At 34.9% G+C, this 22,236-nt stretch overlaps 1 protein-coding gene across 13 annotated transcripts in view, besides 1 other annotated feature; it reads left to right on the forward strand.

Annotated features, from left to right (window-relative positions):
* PCDH11X (protocadherin 11 X-linked) overlaps positions 1-22,236 on the forward strand; it is an 843,856-nt gene that overhangs the window by 753,123 nt on the left and 68,497 nt on the right. The window lies entirely within an intron of this gene.
* Positions 9,267-9,476: a silencer, noted in NCBI's record as "fragment chrX:91796763-91796972 (GRCh37/hg19 assembly coordinates)". NCBI's record gives its function as "represses an EF-1alpha promoter that drives an FKBP-Casp9 reporter gene in an ReSE screen in HepG2 liver carcinoma cells {active_cell/tissue: HepG2}" and the evidence as "EXISTENCE:reporter gene assay evidence [ECO:0000049][PMID:32094911]".

The following is a 22,236-nucleotide window of genomic DNA, read 5'->3' on the forward strand; positions in this document are numbered from 1 at the left end:
TGGAAGAAGAGATACAGGTTAGGTTCATGTAAAAAAACAACATGAAAAGTGAAAAGATGCTTACCTTTGGAAGCAGTGAGATTTAATAATATATTAAAAGGGATGTAGGATAAGTTGGGGAGTAATATATTTAACAAGAAGAAAGTTCTCCTCCTTCATTTAAAAAAAAAAAAGGAGAAGGCAAAGCAAGATGGTGGAATAGAAAACTCCACCAATTCTGCCCCTGTATTAGTTCCTTTTCACATGCTGATAAAGACATACATAAGACAGGGCAATTTACATAAGAAAGAGGTCTAATTGGGTTCACAATTCCACGTGGCTGGAGAGGCCTCACAGTCATGGCAAAAGGCTAGGAGGAGCTAGTCATGTCTTACATGGATGGAAGCAGGCAAACAGAGAGCTTGCGCAGGGCAACTCTTGTTTTTAAAGCCATCAGGTCTCATGAGACCCATTCTCTATCATGGGAATAGCACAGGAAAGACCCACCTCCATAATTCAATCATCTCCCACTGGGTCCCTCCCACAACACATGGGAATTATGAGAGCTACAAGATGAGATTTGGGTGAGGATACACAGCCAAACCATATTACCCCCACACAATAACAGGCTTTTTAGAACACCATATCATTTTCAAAACAGAATATAAATTAAATGTCTTTGGGAGGAAAAAGTAAAAAAGGTAAATTATAGTAAAACATAGCCATAATACTTGTGATGTTATCACATAATTTTATGTGTACAATAAAAATGTCCCTAATAAATATTTTGAATACCCTATAACAGGTCCTGCTCTAGGAAGTTGAGGTCTACCAGAGGACAAACTAGAAAAAAAAAATGTCCTACTTAACATAAAAGAGTATGCTATCAAGAAAGCTGAGGATGTTACAGATGGTCTCTCTGTGAAAGTAATATTTATGTTTATTCCTGAAGGTTTATTAACACTGGGTGTGTAGATGTGGGAAGGATTTCTAGGTGGAGAAAACAGCTTGTACAAAAGCCCTGAAATGAACATGCTTAGCATGTTGGAAGAACCGACAGAAGACCTGTGAATCCAGAGCAAGGATTTCAAAGGGGACAAGCACTTAAATTTTAGTGGTGAAAGAAAGACAATAAATATATAAGATAAGCAAATTTTATTATTTGCTAATTTGCTCTCTCAAATTTTATAGCATGTTAAAAGATGTTGAGTGCTGTATAGAAACATAGTGCAGAGTAATATTTGCTGTTCTGCAGCCTCCGCTGGTGATACCCAGGCAAACAGGGTCTGGAGTGGACCTCCAGCAGACACCAACAGACCTGCAGCTGAGGGTCCTGACTGTTAGAAGGAAAACTAACAAACAGAAAGGAATAGCATCAACACCAACGAAAAGGACATCCACACCAAAACCCCATCTGTAGGTCACCATCATCAAAGACCAAAGGTAGATAAAACCACAAAGATGGGGAGAAACCAGAGCAGAAAAGCTGAAAATTCTGAAAACCAGAGCTCCTCTTCTCCTCCAAAGGATCGCAGCTCCTCACCAGCAATGGAACAAAGCTGGACAGAGAATGACTTTGACGAGTTGACAGAAGTAGGCTTCAGAAGATCAGTAATAACAAACTTCTCTGAGCTAAAGGAGGATGTTTGAACCCATCACAAAGAAGTTAAAAACCTTGAAAAAATATTAGACGAATAGCTAACTAGAATAAACAGTGTAGAGAAGACCTTAAATGACCTGATGGAGCTGAAAACCATGGCACGAGAACTACGTGATGCATGCACAAGCTTCAGTAGCCAATTCGATCAAGTGGAAGAAAGGGTATTAGTGATTGAAGATCAAATGAATGAAATGAAGCGAGAAGAGAAGTTTAGAGAAAAAAAGGGTAAAAATAAACGAGCAAAGCCTCCAAGACATATGGGACTATGTGAAAAGACCAAATCTACGTTTGATTGGTATACCTGAAAGTGACGGGGAGAATGGAACCAAGTTGGAAAACACTCTTCAGGATATTATCCAGGAGAACTTCCCCAACCTAGCAAGGCAGGCCAACATTCAAATTCAGGAAATACAGAGAACACCACAAAGATACTCCTCGAGAAGAGCAACCCCAAGACACATAATTGTCAGATTCACCAAGGTTGAAATGAAGGAAAAAATGTTAAGGCAGCCAGAGAGAAAGGTCAGGTTACCCACAAAGGGAAGCCCGTCAGACTAACAGCAGATCTCTCAGCAGAAACTCTACAAGCCAGAAGAGAGTGGGGGCCAATATTCAACATTCTTAAAAAAAGAATTTTCAACCCAGAATTTCATATCCAGCCAAACTAAGCTTCATAAGTGAAGGAGAAATAAAATCCTTTACAGACAAGCAAATGCTGAGAGATTTTGTCACCACCAGGCCTGCCTTACAAGAGCTCCTGAAGGAAGCACTAAACATGGAAAGGAACAACCAGTACCAGCCACTACAAACACGTGCCAAATCAAAACCACAGTGAGATACCATCTCACACCAGTCATAACGGCAACTACTAAAAAGTCAAAATACAACAGATGATGGTAAGGTTGCAGAGAAAAGCAACACTAATACACTGTTGGTTGCAATGTAAATTAGCTCAACCATTGTGGAAAGTAGTGTGGTGATTCCTCAAAGAGCTAAAAGCAGAACTATCATTCAACCTAGCAATTCCAGTACTGGGTATATACCCAAAGGAATATAAATAATTCTACTGTAAAGACTCATGCACATGTATATTCATGGCAGCATTATTCACAATACAACGACATGCAATCAACCTACATACCCATCAACGGTGCACTGGATAAAGAAAATGTGGTATATATACATCATGGAATACTACACAGCCATAAAAAAGAATGAGGTCATGTCCTTTGGAGGAACACAGATGAAGCCGGAGGCCATTATCCTTAGCAAACTAACATGGGAACAGAAAACCAAATACCGCATGTTCTCACTTATCAGTGTAAGCTAAATAATGAGAATACATAGACATATAGAGGGGAAAAACAGACACCGGGGCATATCGGAAGGTAAAGGGTGAGAGGAGGGAGATGATTAGGAAAAATAACTAATGGGTACTAGGCTTAATACCTGGGTGATGAAATAATCTGTAAAACAAACCCCTATGACACAAACAACCCTGCAAATGTACTCTTGAACTAAAAAGTTATTTAATATGTAAATTAAATTAGATCATATCATGGAGTATTAGTCAATTAGAAATTGAGGCAAAGATAGGAATACGATCCAATACTGCCATATAGTACCAGTAAGAATACACATTTGAGAACACTACTCTAATTTAAATGTAATGATCTTAGATTCACAAAAATAATCTTCTTAAGTCTTTCCTATCCTAAAATTGACAAAAGATTTTAAGAAGCTTAATTACCTTATCAAAAATTTTGCATAAGCTTGGTGAATAAAATACATTTCAGAGTTCATCCTTTCAACTTGATATTTGGTCATTAAAAAGTATTTTGTTTTACGGGGTTTGATACGCCGTCTCCCTCATAAGTTTGTGTTCCTCATAGATGTGATCTCTCTACATATTTCTATATTACTCAGAGGTTGGTTTCTTCCTTTTTATTCTATTCTTTTTTCTATTTTTTTCTCTGTTTTGTCTGAACGTCTTATTTTTGAAATCCAGTCTTTAAGCTCTGAAATTCTTTCTTCAGTTTGGTCTGTTCTTCTGTTAGTACTTACGATTGCATTATCAAATTCTCGTAGTATGTTTTCCAGCTCTATCAGATTGTTTATGTACATTTTTATACAGGCTATTTTATCTGCCAGTTCCTGTATTATTTTATTGTGATTCTTAGCTTTCTTGGATTGGGCTTCAATGTGCTCCTGCATCTCAATGATTTTCATCTCTACCCATATTTTAAATTCTATTTCTGCCATTTCAGCCATCTCATCCTTGTTCAGAACTTTTGCTGGAGAGATATATACTGATTTTTTCTTTCTTTTTAGTATATACTCAGTAGTGGGATTGGTATACCATATGGTAGCTGCATTTTTAAGTTTTTGTGGAAGTTTCAGAATCTTCTCCATATTGTTTATAATAATTTTCATCTTAACCACCAACAGTGTACGAGGTTTCCCTGTTCTCCACAACCTCTCTAGCATTTGTTATTGCCTGTCTCTTGGATAAAAGCCTTTTTTTTTTTTTTTTTTTTTTGAGACAGGGTCTTGTTCTGTCACCCAGGCTGGAGTGCAGTGGTGCAATCATGGCTCACTGCAGCCTTGACCTCTCGGGATCAAGCGATCTCCCTGTCTCAGCCTCCGCAGTATCTGGAACTACAGGTGTATGCCACAATGCTAGGATAAATTTTGTATTTTTTGTAGAGACAGGGCTGTGCATGTTGCCCAGGCTGGGATAAAAGTCATTTTAACTGGGGTAAGATAATAACTCATTGTAGTTTTGATTTGCCTTTCTCTTATTATCAATTATGTTGAACATATTTTCACATGCCTGTTTGCCATTTGCATGTCTTCTTCAGAGAAATATCTACTCCAATCTATTGCCTGTTTTGAATTGCATTATTGAATTTTTTCTTATGAAGTTATTTTATCTTCTTATATATTCTGGTTATGAATCCCTTGACAGATAGGTGGTTTGCAAATATTTTCTCCCATTTTGTGAGTTGTCTTTTAACTTTGTTTATTATTTTCTTCATCCTGCAGAAGCTTTTTAACTTTACGTGATCCCATTTGTCCATTTTTTTTTTTTTGCTTCATTTCCTTGTACTTCTGGAGTATTACTTAAGAAATTTTGGCCCAGACCAATGTGCTGAAGATTTTCCCCCCCAAAAGTGAAAGAACTCTACAATGAAAGCTATAAAATCTAATAAAGGACATTGAAGAGAAAAATAAAAATAAAAAGATATTTCATGTTTATGGATTAGAATAATCAATATTGTTAAAATGTCCATACTACCTAAATTAATCTATTGATTCAATGCAATCTCTATCAAAATACCAATGATATTTTTCACAGAAAGAGAAAAACAATCCTAAAATTTATATGGAACCCTGTAATATTTAGATTAGCCAAAGCTGTCCTGAGCAAAAAGGAACAAAACTGGAGGAATCACCTTACCTGACTTGAAATTATACCACAGAGATATATGAACCCAAATAGCATAACACTGGCAAAAAAAAAAAAAAAACCAGACATATAGAACAATGGACCAGAATAGAGAATCAGAAACAAATCCACATACCTACAGTGAACTTATTTTTGACAAAGTTGCCAAGAACATGCACTGGAAAAAAGACAATCTGATTTATTTTTCCGATAATTAACTATTGGCATATAGAAAGGCTACTGATTTTTGTATATTGATTTTGTATTCTGTAAATTTACTAAATTTGTTCATCAGTTTTAATAGCTTTTGGTAGTGTCTTTAGGATTTTCCAAATATAAAATCATATCATCTGCAAACAAAGGTAATTTGAATTCTGTTTTACCGATTTGGATGTCCTTTTTATTTATTTGTTTATTTTCAGCAAATCAAATAATATTTGCTTTATATATATATGAATGCTCCAGTGTTAGGTACATACATATTTATAATTGTTATGTCTTTTATTAAATTTACTTCTTTATCATTGTATAGTGACCTTCTTTGTCTCTTCTTATAGTGTTTGTCTTGAAATCTATGTTGTTGAATATAAGTAAATATATTCTTGCCATTTTCTGGTTGCCATTGGCATAAAACAGCTTTTAGCCATCCCTTTATTTTCAATCTGTGTGTATCTATATCGGAGAAGTTTGTTTTTTTAAGGCAAGAGATCACTGGGTCTTGTGTTTTTTCTTTATTCTGACATGTTATGTCCTTTCATTGGAGAGTTCATCTATTTATTTCCTTGTTATTATTGACAACTAGAGACTTACTCCTGTCATTTTCTTATTCGTTTTCTGGTTGGTTTGTAGTCTCCTCTCTCATTCTTTTCTTTCTTTTACCCTTTTAGTGAAAGTGATTTTCTCAGGTGATATGATTTAATTTGTAACTTTTTATTTTTGTGTATTTGTTGTATGGTTCTTGATTTGAGGTTATCATGAGGCTTGTACATACTATCTTATAACCCATTATTTTAAACTGATGACAACATAGCAAAGATTGCATAAACAAAGAAGCACAAAAAGAAAACTAATAAACACTCTATACTTTAACTTTATACTCCCCCTTTTTAACTTTTTATTGTTTCTTTTTATGTCTTATTGTACTGTCTATGTTTTGAAAAGTGTTGCAGTTATAATTTTTGATTGGTTCATCATTTGACCTTTCTACTTAAGAGTAGTTTACATACCATGATTACAGTGTTATAATATTCTGTGGTTTTCCATGTCCCTACTATTTCCAGTGAGTCTTCTACCTTCAGATGATTTCTTCTTATGTATTAATGTATTTTGTTTCAGAATAAAGAACACCGTTTAGCATTTCGTGTAAGACAGGTCTCGTGTTTATGGAATCCCTCAGCTTTTATATGTTATTTGTTTCTTTCCTTTTGCTGCTTTTAGGATCCTTTCTTTATCCTTGACCTTTGGGAGTTTGGTTATTGAATGCCTTGAGGCTGTCTTCTTTGGGTTAAATCTGCATGGTGTTTTGTAACCTCTTTGTACTTGAATGTTGATTTATTTCTCTAGATTTGGGAAGTTTTCTGATATTACCTCTTTGAATACACTTTCTACCCCCATCTCTTTCTGTACTTTTCTTTAAGGAAAATAACACTTAGATTTACCCTTTTGAGGATATTTCCTAGATCTTATAGTTGTACTTCATTCTTTATTCTTTTTAATTTTGTTTCCTTTGTATTTTCCACTAGCCTGTCTTCAACTAAATCTTTTCTTCTCCTTGATTATTTCTGCTATTAAGATTCTCTGATGCATTCTTAAGTATGCCAATTGCATTAATCAGCTCTAGAATTTCTGCTTTATTCTTTTAAATTATTTCAATCTCTTTGTTAAATTTACCTGACAGAATTCTGAATTCCTTCTCTGTGTTATCTTAAATTTCTTTGAGCCTCCTCAACACAGCTATTTTGAATTATCTGTCTGAAAGGTCACATGTCCCTGTTTCTCCAGGATTGGTCCCTGATGACTTATTTAGTTCATTTGGTAAGGCCATGTTTTCCTTGATTATCCTGATTGCTTATGGACATTCATCAGTGTCTGGGCATTAAAGATATATATTTATTGTAGTCTTTGCAATTTGAGCTTGTTTTATATCTGTCCTTTTTGAGAAGGTTTTCCATGTATTCTAAGGGAATTGGGTACTGTGCCCAATAATGCTGTGGTTTTTGTGGACTCATAGAGGTGCTGCCTTGGTAGTCTTAGATAAGGTCCAAAAGAATTACCTGGATTACCAGGAAGAGTCTCATGTTGTCTTCCCTTACCTTCTCCCAAACAGTGCCTCTCTCTGTGTGCTGAGCCACCTGGAACTGTGGGCATTGTGATGCAAGTACCATGGGGTCACCACCACTGGGTCTGTGCTGGGTCAGACCTGAAGCCAGCACAACACTGAGTCTCACCAAAGTCCTACCGTAACCACTACCTGGATACCACCTATGTTGACTCCAAGGTTCTAGGGCTCTATAATCAGCAGGTGGTGAAACCAGCCAGGTTTCTCTTCTTTCATTTAGGGCAGTGATATCTCTCAGGCCCCAGACTTGTGCAGAGATCCTGTCTGAGAGCCAGCAATTGTAGTACAAAACCTTACAAATTTACCTAATATTTCATTCTACTTTGTGTAAGCTGGCACTCACACCACAATACGAAGTCCTTCCTGCTTTTCCCTCCTCTTTCCACAGGCAGAGGAACCCCTCCCTGTGGCTACTACCACCACCAGCCCATAAGGCGTTCTGCCACACCACTACTTATGTTCACTTAAAGACCAAGGGCTCTTCTAAGAGATTGTAGTGAATGTTGCCAGAACTATGACACGCCTTTCAAGGCAGTGAGCTCCCCTCTGGCCTAAAGCACGTCCAGAATTGCTGTCCAAAAGTCTAGACCAGGACTTGACACCAAGAGCCTGCTTGTTGCTCTACTCCACTGTGACCAAACTGGTATCTAGTGTGCAAAACAAAGTCTTCATTATTTTTCCCCCTGCTTTTTTCAAACAGAGAGAGTCTTTCACTGTAGCCAGCACCGCTGGGAATATGGCAGGTCACACTTGAAGTCAGTACATCTCAGAGCCCGAGGCCCATGGAGTACTCCCTGACTATCACTCCTTACTCTTCAGAGCCCAAGGGCTCTTTAGTCAGCAGTTTATAAATCCTATCAGAAGTGTTTTTTTCCCTTCAAGGCCACGGGTCTGCCTCTAGCCCAGGTTGATTCTAGATATGTCATCTGTGAGCCAGAATGGGGACCTCACAACTCTGCCGGTGCCCTCTACTTCTGTGGCTGAGCTGGCATCCAAGATGCATAAGAAAGGCCTCTTTTTTCTTTCCTTTTCTTAATCTGAAGAAAGGAGTCACTTTTACTGTTGCGAGCTGCACTGACTTGGCTTGGAAAAGGAGTGGCACAAGCACTCTCTTAGCTGCCCCAGCTGGTGTCTTCCTAGGTCACGTGCCACTTGAGTCCACTGGCTCTAAGCCCAGCCTAGCGCTTGGAGTTGTCCAGGAATTGTATTCCTTGTGTCCTACACTGCCTTTCAGGTTTACCTGGGACCCCAGAGCACTTTGGCCTACAGCAGTAAGGCTTGCTAAAAAAACTCAAGTTCTGACCACTGTAATGGGCGATTCCCTTCTTGTAAGGACTGGTCCAAATGCTCCCTCTGTGCAGGGTACTGGTTGATCCCAGCATGACTTTGCTCTCCACTGTGACAGGCAGCACCGAGTACAATGTAAAGTCCCTAGGTCACTGTGCTCTCCCTCCCCCAAGTGCACAAACTCTCTGTGTCACAGGGCCACTGCCAGTGGATGGGGAGGGGTGGTGTCAGCTATTTCAGACTGTTTCTCCTATCCTTTTTAATGCCTCTTTCAGTGATATGAATTTAAACCATGTACTGTGATTACTCACTTGATTTTTGGTCCAGTGATGGTGTTTCTCTGTGTGCAGATACTTGTTAAAATTTGGTGTTCCAGCGCAGGGGACAAATAGTGTAGGCTTTTATTCCACCGTTTTATACCACCCTCTTTAGATTTTTTTCTTAAGCTTTTATTTATTTTAAACAAGAAGTTCTTTAAAAAAATAACTCAATTAAAAAAAAAAACTATTCAACAACTACCCCCTTTCACTATAAAAAGGAGTTCGAGACCAGCTTGGTCAACATGGTGAAACCCCGTTTCAATACAAAAATTAGCCTGGCGTGGTGGTGGGTGCCTGTAATTCCAGCTACTTGGGAGGCTGAGGCAGGAGAATTGCTTGAACCCAGGCGGCGGAGGTTGCAGTGAGCCAAGATCGTGCCACTGCACTCCAGCCTGGGTGACAGAGTGAGACTCCTTCTCAAAAATAAAAATAAAAAGGCTATATATAATACTACACTTAAAATTATGTTGATAGGTGTATGTTTTCCAGTTCATACAATTCTCTGTATTACTTTTTTCTCAGGGAGATGTCAGTTTATTTCAAATGTACTTTATATAATTATATTTTATAGCATATTCTCACACTACATATTTAAGATGAAATTTGTAAATGTGATTAAATTTCGCTTAAAAATTCTTGAATTGAATAAACTGAAATTCAACACCTATTCCACTGAATTTTACTCTACCTGATGAGTATTTTGGCATTGCAGAGAAAATCTCTTTTTTTGAAAGGAACTCATTAAATATCACTTTTGCGTCAATATTAGGACCTTTTAATATGTAGTTGCACATTAGGAGATGATGAAGAGTTGCCTGCAGCTCTGCACACAAATACTAATCTTCATCCCAATGATTTCCAAACGTTTGACTTTACAATTATCTGTATTACCATACTTTATGTTATATTGTTGGAACACTGGGACCACTAGCACCTTTTAAAATGTCCATAAATTAGAATAAAATTATAATAAAACCACATTTTTATATTTTTTCCCAAGAGTTTATAATAGAAGACTAAGTTTTGTGGGATTCACAATATATTATCAATGTATGTTTCTTGAAAATCATTTAGAATGAGAAAATAATTTGAAGTCAACTAATATATAAGATATATGTCTCCTTTTAGATGAAAGATAAAACATTATTTTCTGTGAATGTAGGCAAAATAACTTCAACAAATGGAAATTTTTACCTTTAAAAAAGATTGTCATTTATTTTCTGGTAACTGTTGTACTCTGAAAAATCTAAAGCCTCTCTAGTGGCAGAAATCTACAAAATTCAATACAGGTTTAATATAAAGAATACATGATCTTTAAAAAAATGCAATGAAGAAAATATTGTTTTAGTCTCTTGAGAGCCATCTTTCTAGATTTTTCAAAGTATAGACAAAATTGAAGTGTTTCAACCAATTCTGTTATTAACAATCCTGAACAGGATTATTCATCATAAGACATCAAAATTCTTTAGCCTACAATTTTATCCTTTACAAAATATACTTCTTAAATCCAGATTATAACACCACTCACTTCCACTTTTCCATTTAGAATAAAAGGAACTAGTGAGATTATATGATTTCTACAAGTATTTAAAAAATATTCCAAATTACAAATCAGTGTAAAATCTCCTGAATATCAGGACACTGCATTTCTTAATCATACAATAATAATATTGTCCTTTAAAATTTTGGCTTTTAATAACTTTTTAAACTTTATTTTTAAACATTATAACTTCCTCTAGACATGTACTTCTCCAATCGTGATTGAAAGCAAATATTACATAAAATTGACTTGCAAAATATCACAGTAACATAGTTCTTAATACAGCACTATATTTTATTCATATCAACATCTTTTGACCCAATTTTTCTAAAAGAAGACGTTAAGAACTTGTTAAGAATACACATGAAAAGAGATTTTGTTTTTAATCCTACCTTTCCTATAAACCCTAGTAATCAGAAAGTAGAAAGAAATATCTAGCTAACTCATTTTTTAAAAACACTCTAAATAGACTAGAAGCTATGATATGAATTCATGAAATTGGTATCAGGGTCATTATTTATAAATAAAGTTTTGGCCGGGCATGGTGGCTCACGCCTGTAACTAGCTGGGCATGATGGCGGGCGCCTGTAATCCCAGCTGAGGGAGGCTGAGGCAGAAGAATGGCTTGAATCCGGGAGGTGGAGGTTGCAGTGAGCCGAGATCGTGCCACTGCACTCCAGCCTGGGTGACAGAGCGAGACTCTGCCAAAAAAAAAAAAAAAGTTTTATCATAATATATAGTCTAGAATAACAGAAGGAAATACTATACTCAAACAATCTAAAGGAAGTCATCAAAAGCCAATCTTATTTTTCAAACATGTTAAAGATAAATAAGAATATAGACACGCTAATATAACAATTTAAAAAATAACCACAAAACTCTGTAAGTAGGATGGATGATAGACAATGGAAGGAAGAAAAGAAGGGAGGTAATTTTAAAAACCATATACTTCAGACATTTTAATTCCCTTGTTAGATAAAACTAGTATGCTCGGGGGTTAATGTGTGGCAGTTGTCAGACACCTTTCACACCATGGACTAATTTATAGATAATTGGAATAAAACCCTGAGTTTCAAGCAGGTACCACTTATTTTTATTGAATTTCCCTTCTTGAGCATGATTCACACATACTTCACATTTGCCCATATACTGGCTAAGTAGGACAGCAAAATGCCTTAAAGAAATGTACCATTTTAAGAAGCTAGCTTTTTTTCTTAGGTGCATAAGTTATGCTTGGAGAAAATATAATTATATTTTCCTGCATAATAAATAGGTTTTATGAAAAACACAGCCTTTGGAGAATACAAGAGAAATTATTCACTATGTTTAACAAAACATGTAGCAAAACATTTTGCCCTTGATTTTCTTATTCAAATAGTGGGACTAGAAAAACTTTTGAAGACGTGTTAGATGTAGTTAGCCATTGAGGTACACTGAAAAGTCAGCACGAGTGCATGAGTTGGATTTTGTTATGATTATTTTGCTTTTGTTTTATTATTTTTTTTCTTACTCCCTTTGGTCTTGTCTTATGTGAACTCCCTTTGGTCTTGTCTTAGGTGCCATTGAAGACACCGTAAATTCAACCCCATCATATGGTTTCATTTTAACTCAGAAGGTTAGATATGTTCAGCACAAATAAAATCAGATATTCTCAGGCTCACCCTAATTAAAGGTCCTAATCTAATCAAAGCTTTCATGAAGAAATGTCTTTTATGGAGGAAATTTACTGGTGTGTATTAATAATGGAAGCACTTTTTTAAAGCAAGGAAAACTGGTATGAATACAATTTTTATATTAAATTTAGATGTCATGTTCTTACTGATGGTACAGACGACTACAATTGATATATCCAGATTCAAGCCCCTACAAAACACAGTCAGAGTATACTGGTACCTGTCTCTTCATACTGCCTTCACCCAGATTCTATGATTCCTTTAAGTGAACAGAAAGTCTATTCAGTAGGGTAGAATTTTAACAGCATAGTTGGAGAGCTCCTGCTGTCCAAATGCATGCTTCCATGTGGAGGCCTGGAATAAAAAGGCCATTATAGCTTTTGGTACACTCTGTGGGAGAGAGTAGGGAGAGAAGTTGTAATGATTAGCAAGTAAGTTTTGTGATTGGCATAAAAACTAGAGAGGCATAAAAGAATTTACTTTTGTGCATATTGTTCCATTTTTACCAGAGTGACTTATAATTTAGAGGCTTATTTATTCCAAAGACCAGTAAGAACTTACTACATAAGAGACATGTAGTCTATCAAATAAGGAGAGTGGTTAAAGTCTCGTTTTTAGTATCATTGACTTCGAAGGTTAAATTCCTTTTTTTTTTTTTTTTTTTTTTTTTTGTTTTTGAGGCGGAGTCTCGCTCTGTCACCCAGGCTGGAATGCAGTGGAGCCGTCTGGGCTCAGTGTAAGCTCCGCTTCCCGGGTTCATGTGATTCTCGTGCCTCAGGCTCCTGAGCAGCTGGGATTACAGTTGCCCGCCATCATGCCGGGCTAATTTTTGTATTTCTGTAGGGACAGGGTTTCACCATGTTGGCCAGACTGGTCTTGAACTCCTGACTTCAGGTGATCCTCCCCCTTCAGCCTATCAAAGTACTGGGGTTACAGGTGTGAGCCACCACACCCAGCCTCAAGGGTTAAATTCTTGAATTGATAATTAATTCCCTGATATGCTTACAGTTCTGTTTTTATGAGTACACATTTAAATAAAGCTTTTGCATCAGTCTGATCGAAAAATTAGTAGAATTAGTTTAAAGGTGTGATTACATCCAACATTTCAAGTTAAAAATATAAAATTGTGATCACACTTAATCCCTTTGGTTTACAAATAGCATTTTCTCTGATATCATTTTCTGCTAAATTGTATGATATGGTGTAGGGGAAGTATTATCACTAGCCTTCAGGCACTGTCAGTGTGTGTCTACGCCTTTTATTTTAAAAATGTGAACCCAATGATAAACTTCGAATATTCGATTTAATGTACTATGTGGTGAGCTGATTTTTACACAACAGAGAACCTTTGTCTACTCTTAGAAATAGAGCAAAGAAAAATATTTGAATTTTATATTTGAAATAATCTTAAGGATCATAGAGTCCAAGTTCTTTATTGTGTAATGGGAAAACTAAGTTTTAAAGCAGATGTGACTTACCCACAATCACACATTTATTCAGTTGTGGAACAAAGAATATAATCTGAAAGAAAAATTATTGGACAAATAATATCCATCTATCAGATTCTAGCCGGAATGGGGTTAACATCAGAAAACTCTATACTATCAGAGAAGACTGCATTGATTTAAAGTACAAATAATGTTATCTTCCATCGACATACATGAAAGACGAGTCTTAGAAAATTCTTATCTCTCTGTATATATAACACTTTTTTCAATAAAAATGTAAATCATATTACTTGTGTTTTATCAATTCTCATTTTGAGAATGGATAGCAAAAAAATTGAAATCTCATATGTTAATGCAAGGAAAAAAAATAAGGTCATGCCAAATTCCCCATTTTCTTCTACAAATTACAGATGTTATTTCAGTCTAAATTAAGTTGCTATGTAGTAATAATCCATTTAGGTAGAGAAAAATATCCAAGTTTACATTCATATTAGGAACTATGTAAAACATGTAGGTGTCTGATGAAATTTTGTGTTTCCTTGCAGTATTTCAAACCATACAATTATTTCATCACTGCCCTCCATTTACGCAAGTATATTCCCTTTAACTTAAAAAATAGTATATCTGAAAGTGAGCTTTAGATACTGCCCTTATATTGGGTCTATGTCTGCAGGGGCAAACAGACCACATATCATCTAGTCAGCACTCAATTATTATATTTCAAAGGCTTGTTGCCTGAAATACCCATCTTTTGTTCTCCTCACTGTGTCTTTGCAACACGCCTTAGCACAGTATCTTATTGACCTCCTTGGAGCACTAAGATCATTCACTGCATGGGAAGAAATGATTTTCCTCCTCAGCATGGACATATTTACTGCACCTTTAGGGAAGCCCAGCAAAAAAGAAGCAGCTTCCAGATAGTTTTGTTAGAAAATACTATTACAGAAATTCTGCATAAATTCCGTTTTAGGAATTGTTAACTCTTTCTGTGAATTTAAGCAGTATTAAGGTGATTTGGCAAGAACTGTGAAAATTAATGATTGATTTCTCTATTGGCTCATAACTGTCAAGATTCTTGGATAAACTATTTAGAACATGACATAAAAGATAAGAGATTAGTAGTAAAAGGAAACGGTTATAAAATAAAACATGTTGAAATAATAGCAGATATTTTTTAAATGTTGCTTACTTAAGGTAATATTTGTTATGGAAAGATGCTATCGAAATGCAGATTCTACTTCTCACCTGGAGTTTCTAAGGGAAGATTAAATTGTAATCTTAGAAAAAAAAATGTGAATGAATGTCTCTCTCTTCCTTCCTCCCTTTCTCCCTCTCTCTCCCTCCCTCGCTCTCCCTTCTTCCTCTTTTCTTACCTCCTTAACATTTTGAATGTTTCTAGTAACTTTTCTTATACCATTATGAGGATTTATATTTAGTGTGTATTTTTCCTGTCGAGGCCTTTAAAAGGTAAACATTTACCTTGAGAAAAAAATGATAGTTGTACATTTTTTTCTAATGGGCTTTTTCTTTTCTTTATTTTTTTATTTTTTTATTTTTTGAGATTGAGTCTTGCTCTGTTGCCCAGGCTGGAGTGCAGTGGCTGGATCTCGGCTCACTGCAACCTTGGCTTCCCAGGTTTAGGCGATTCTTCTGCTTCAGCTTCCTCAGCTTCTGGGACTACTGGTGGGCGCCATCATGGCTATATATATATACAAGAATTTTAACATCTATTAAAATGTCATTTTGGCAATACAGAAATTACATTAACATGTTTATTCTATTTTTGTAAAGTGTCAATAGCTTCAATATATGTAAAAGGTGATTAAAACCAAAAGCCTTTTTAAAAAGGAGATGATCTGGTTTCTTCCTTCCTCACAATCCAAGTTTAAATTGTGCATTGTCATCTATAAAATACTCTTAAAGGAAAGAACTCATTCCTTTCCTGCAATTCTATTTTTTTTAATTCTTTCTTTTTCTAAGTTTTGTTTGTTTGTTTGTTTTGAGACATGCTTTCAGTTGTCCAGGCTGGAGTGCAGTGACACAATCATGGCTCACTGCTCGCTTGACCTCCCCAGGCTTACGTGATCCTCGCACCTCAGCCTCCTGAGTAGCTGGGACTACCGGCAGGCACCACCACTCCTGGCTAATTTTTGTAGTTTTTCTAGAGACAGGGTTTCACTATGTTGCTCAGGCTGATCTCAGACTCCTGGGCTCAAGCAATCCACTCGCTTCAGCTTCCCAAAGTGCTGGGATTGCAGGCATGAGCCATCGCACGCAGCCCCTAAAATTCTCTTATCTAGCCTTCTGGCATCTTATCATCAGCATGTGGAATGATAGTTGCTGATGTTGTCAAACCTATGATAACATGATGAACTTCCCAGAGTTAATTTCGGTTAACACTAGCACCTTCTGAAATGTGAGCCAATTTCAATACTGCAATGCCAAGCTTTCCTTTCAGCCATTTTGCCCTTATCTCCCACAATGCTATAGAAAGTAGTGATCTTAAAAGATGACAGAGCCAACACCAAATGACATAAATTCTACTTAAAATGTTTGCTCATAGGATCAAAGAAGAAAAAGGTACACTTGTTTTTCAGTGATATGTTCGATCCATCATTAGAGAATATTGCAAGCATTACTAGAGTTATTAAAATTATTCATTTTAAATTATTAAAATTATGTCAGCTGAAACAGTCAAAACATAAATTAAAGGCTCAGAAGGTCTTTAAAAATATCTAATCAGTTTTGTTAATGTGTGAAAAAAACAGTGCAAGTGTCATTTATTGAAATCAGGCTTAAAGTGTACCATTCAACAGTTTAAAGCCTACACCAGGTACATCTGATCATTGTAGGACTAGATGCTATATAAAAAATGATTCACTATGTATTCTCACAAGGCACATTATGCAACTCCAAAATACTCTCTTTCAGTACTTTATGAGGGACACAAATGTGTAATTGTCAAATATGACAATAATGTCTAATTAAGAAAGTACATATACATATATAATATGTATATGTATGCACATACATTTGACTTTGCTTTTCTAACTTAAAATTTAACTTAATGCCTTATATTGCCTTATTTTGTAGCACTCATTTATAATTTCGTCTTGAACATGAAATGGACTTTCACTTCATTTCATTTGCTGCTTACTTAGAAAGTATCATGATTTCAGTTCAATGTGAAAATGCTACCTGTATTGTTCAACCTGAAATTAAGTGTCTCTGTTCAGTGCTTACATTTACTTTCAACACAGTTTCTTTATGTGTGTAAATGAGTTCTGAAATAATAGAAAAAATGAGAAGTTGCATGAAAATGATGAACATTTTCAAATTCGTGATCTAAATTCAGATTCACCGAGTTCCTCTGTAAAATACTTGTTAAGAAAACATGTATTTCTCACCATGAGTAGTGCCTTTTTTCCTGTGGTTTATCTATTTAGAACAAAACTTTAATGATTTATTTAATCTCTCCCTAAGATCCTTTTCACGATGGCGAAAGAGAGCAAAAAACATCTATGGTTCAGAATAAATAAAACAAAGTCATCTCACTGAAATATACATAAAAAGAAACTCAAGTATATTATTAATAGAGCAGCATATGTATTTTTATTTAATATATTTTAATAGACATAATAATTGAACATATTTATGGGGTACATAGTGATGCTTTGATACATACAATGCATAGTGATCAAATCAGGGTAATTAGCATATCAATCACTTAAAGCATTTATGATTTCTTGTAGTGGGAATATTCGAAATCCTCTCTTCTAGCTTTTTGAAAACATATCATAAATTATTGTAAACTAGAGTAATCCTACAGTGCTATAGAATGCTAGAACTTAATCTTCCTATCTAGTTGTAATTTTGTATCCTTTAATGAATGTCTCCCTCTCTCCTCTTCTCCCTACGCTTTGTAGCTTCTAGTAACCGCAATTCTACTCTCTACTTACGTGGGATCAAATTTTTAGTTTCCAAATATAAGTGGAAACATGCGGTATTAATCCTTTGTGCCTGGGTTATTTCACTTAGTATAATATGCTTCAGGCTCACCCATATCTGTGTATTCATTTAAAAAGCATATTAAATGTGCTATGAAATAAAGGGTTTGCATTTTTCCTATTGTAATATCATAAATATCTTCCTTGGATATCTAGGTACTCTCTCACTTATATAGTTAAAAAATAAACCCATGATTATTTTAGTATAAATTTCTGGAATAGTTTTCTTTCTGAATTTTTTAAATTTTAATTTATTTTTGTATATAGTAAGTATATATATTTATGTGATACCTTGGATATTTTGAATCAGGCATGCAATATGTAATAATCAAATCATGGAGAATGGGCTACCCATCTCCTCAAGTATTTATCCTTTATGTTACAAACCATCCAATTATATTCATTTAGTTATTTTTAAATGTATAATTAAATTATTATCGACTATAGTCATCCTGTTGTGCTATCAAATACTTGGTCTTATTAATTCTTTCTAACTATTTTTGCACTCATTAACCATCCCCATCTAAATCCCACCACACACTACCCTTCCCCGCCCTGGGTAATCATCCTTTTACTTTCTATTTCCATGAGTTCAGTTGTTTTGATTTTTAGATCCCACAAATAAGTTAGAACATATGATGTTTATCTTTCTGTTCCTGGCTTATTTCACTTAACATAATGATCTCCAGTTCCATTCATATTGTTGCATATGACTGGATCTCATTCTTTTTTATGGCTAAATAGTACTCCATTGTATATATGTACCACATTTCTTTCTCTATTCATCTGTTGATGGAAACTTAGGTTGCTTACAAATCTTAGCTACTGTGAACAGTGCTCCACAAACATAGGAGTGCAAATGTCTCTTTGATATACTGATTTCCTTTCTTTTTGGTATATGCCAAGCAGGGGAATTGCTGGATCATATGGTAGCTCAATTTTTGTTTTTTTGAAAAAACTCCAAACTGTTCTCTAGAGTGGTTGTACTAATTTACATTTCCACCATCAGTGTACTAGGGTTCCCTTTTCTCTACATCTGTGCTAGCATTTGTTATTGCCTGTCTTTTGGATAAAAGCCAATTTAACTGGGTTGAGAGGATATCTCATTGTAGTTTTGATTTGTATTTCTTTTTCATATACTTGTTTGACATTTGTATTTCTTCTTTTGAGAAAGTTCTATTTAAATCTTTTGCCCATTTTTTTTTGCTCAGATTATTAATTTCCTATAGACTTGTTTGAACTCCTTATATATTCTGTTTATTAATTTTTGTCAGATGGGTAGGTTGCAAATATTTTCTCCCCTTCTGTGGGTTGTCTCTTCACTTTGTTGATAGCTTCCTCTGCTGTGCAGAAGCTTTTTAACTTAATGTGATCTCGTTTGTTTATTTTTGCTTTGGTTGTCTGTGCTTGTACTCATGAAATTTTTGCCCAGACCAATGTCCTAGAGAGTTTCTCCAATGTTTTCTTGTTGTAGGTTCATAGTTTGAAGTCTTAGATTTAAATATTTAATCCATTTTGATTTTATTTTTGTATAGGATGAGAGGAGGGTCTAGTTTTAGTCTCCATACAAATATCCAATTTTCCCAGCCTCATTTATTGAATAAACTGTCTTTTCCCAAGAGTATGTTCTTGGCATTTTTGTCAAAAATGAATTCATTATAAGTGTGTGGATTTAATTCTGGGTTCTCTATTCTGTTCCATTGGTCTATGTGTCTGTTTTAATGCCACCAGGCTGTGTTGGTTACTATAGCAGTGTAGTATAATTTGAAGTCAGGTAAGGTGATTCCTCTGGTTTTTTTTTTTTTTTTTTCTCAGGATAGCTTTGATAATTTGGGAATTTTTGTGATTCCATATAAGATTCAGGATGATTTTTCTAGTTCAATGAGTAATGCCACCAGTATTTTGATAAAGATTGCATTGAGTCTGTAGATTGCTTTGAGTATTATGGATGTTTTAACAATATTAATTTTACCATTTCATGAACATGGAATATCTTTCAATTTTTTGGTGTCCTCCTCAATTTTTTTTCATCAGTGTTTTATAGCTTTCATTACAGAGATCTCTCACTTTTGGTTAATTCCTAGGTATTTACTTTTATTTGTTACTATTGTAAATGGGATAACCTTTTAAAATTTCTCTTACAGATTGTTCCTTGTTGGCATATAAAAATACTACTGCATGTTAATTTTTTATCCTGCAACTTTACTGACCTTGTTCATGAGTTCTAACAGTTTCGTTCGTGCAGTCTTAGGTTTTTCCAAATATAAGATCATATCAGCTATAAACAAGGATAATTTGATTTCTTTCACTCCAGTTTTGATGCCCTTTGTATCTTCTCCTGTATGATTGTTCTAGCTAGTTCTTGCTACTATGTTGAATTACAGCAGTGAAAGTGGGCATCCTTTCAAGTTTCAGGTGTTAGAGAATAGACTTTCCATTTTTCCCCATTCAGTATTATACTTGCTGAGGTTCTGTCATATATGGCTTTTATTGCATTGATGTATGTTCCTTCTATACCCATTTCTTTGAGGGTTTTTTAATCATAAAGGAATGCTAAATTTTTTCATATACTTTCAGCATCAGTTGAAAAGATCATATGGATTTTATCCTACCTTCTGTTTATATGATTTATCACATTGATTGATTTTTGTGTGTTGAACCACTCTTGCATCCCAGGGGTAAATCTCACTTGGTTATAATGAATAATCTTTCTATTGTGTTTTTGAATTTGGTTTGCTAGTATTTTCTTGGAAATTTTTGCATCAATACTCATCACGGATATTGTCCTGCAATTTTCGTGTGTGTGTGTGTGTGTGTGTGTGTGTGTGTGTGTGTGTTTCTTGATGTGCCTTTGTCTGCTTTTGGTATCAGGATAATATTGGCCTCATAGAATGAATTTGAAAGTATTCCATCCACCTCTATTTTTAAGAATTGTTTGAGTAGCATCCTTATTAGCTTTTCTTTACATGTTTGGTAGAATTCAGCATTGAAGTCGTCGGGTCTCGGGCTTTTTTAACTGGGATTTTTTTTTTTTTTATTAAGACTTTGGTCTCATTACTTGTTATTTGTCTGTTCGGGTTTCAGAGTTCTTCCTAATTCAATTTTATTGGGTTGTGCATGTCTTGGAATTTGTCTATTTCTTCTAGATTTTCCAATTTATAGGCATATAGTTGCTCATAGTAGCCACTAATGACCCTTTGAATTTCTTGCAGCATCAGTTGTAGCGTCTCCTTTAGCATTTCTAGTTTTCCATATTTGAATCTTCTCTTTTTTTATTAGTCAGTCTAGCTAAAAGTTTGTCAATTTGTTTAACTTTCCCAAAAACCAACTTTTTTCACTCATCTTTTGTATTGTTTTCATTTTAATTTTATTTATTTCTATTCTAATCTTTTTTTTCTTATACTAATTTTGGTTTGGAATGCTTTTGATTTCCTAGTTCTTTAAGACGCATCATTAGATTGTTTATTTGAAGTTTTTCTCCTCTTTTTTGATGTAGGCAAATATAGCTATAAACTTTCTTCTTAACACTGCTTTTGCTGTATCCCATAGGTTTTGGTGTTATATTTCCATTATCATTCAATAGGTGGAGTTTTCTATTCCACCATCTTGCTCCCCCTCCTTTCTTAATTTCTGGAGTTCTAGATAAACTTTCAAAACCACCCACTGCGTTACTCAGAATAGAGAATATGAATGTGTTGCAGAAGTGACAAAAATTCAGGAGTAAAAGCTTGGTAAATTCAGCATCTCATTCTCCATTATGGGAAAATATTCTTTATTTACACAGAGTCAGTTTTACTCAAATTGGAAGAATACTAGATCTTCACTGTTAATCAACCAAGAAAAAATTTTTTAATCATAGAACAGTCGGTTTTAGAGGTAGAATATGCCTTGATTCTTCTCAACATTTTTCACCAACGTATCTCTATCTGCAAAGAAGAGTTAACTGGCCACTCTGATGACCTGTAAGTTCCTCAAAACATACTATTTATTGTAAGTATTGTGTTTTAGTTGTGGAAAACAAAGATATTCTACATTCTACTCTTCAATGTCTTGTATACAGCAAGAAGAGGAAATGCCACCTTTCTATGCCATATTTTATGCATGCCACTTTCTTTAAATCAGTTAAAAGACTTGCATTATTTACAGCTAAACACTAAAATTTAGCCTGATATTCCAGGCCCTAAAGAATTTTTTAAAAATTACTATTATTATTTTTAAAAATTTTATGGGTACAGGGTAGGTGTATTTATTTATGGGGAAAATGGCATAACCTAGTTGAAGCCTTAAACCCCTTAGAATCAGAGGGACTTTATTAATTACATAGTTCAAACATATATATCTAACTATAACCCCTTTGATAATCCTCCATTTTTATAAACTATTCTTCAGCCTATAGCACTTAGCAACTCTTAATTTTTAAATTGATATATTATTAATTTTTGAATTGAATATCACCTCTTTGCTCTGAATTTTTTATTAACTCTTTAATGGCTACAAAAAATAATTGAAATAAGTTTGTTCTTATCATCTGTTTTC

This window comes from Homo sapiens, chromosome X, assembly GCF_000001405.40.
Source record: "Homo sapiens chromosome X, GRCh38.p14 Primary Assembly".
Lineage (NCBI taxonomy): Eukaryota > Metazoa > Chordata > Mammalia > Primates > Hominidae > Homo > Homo sapiens.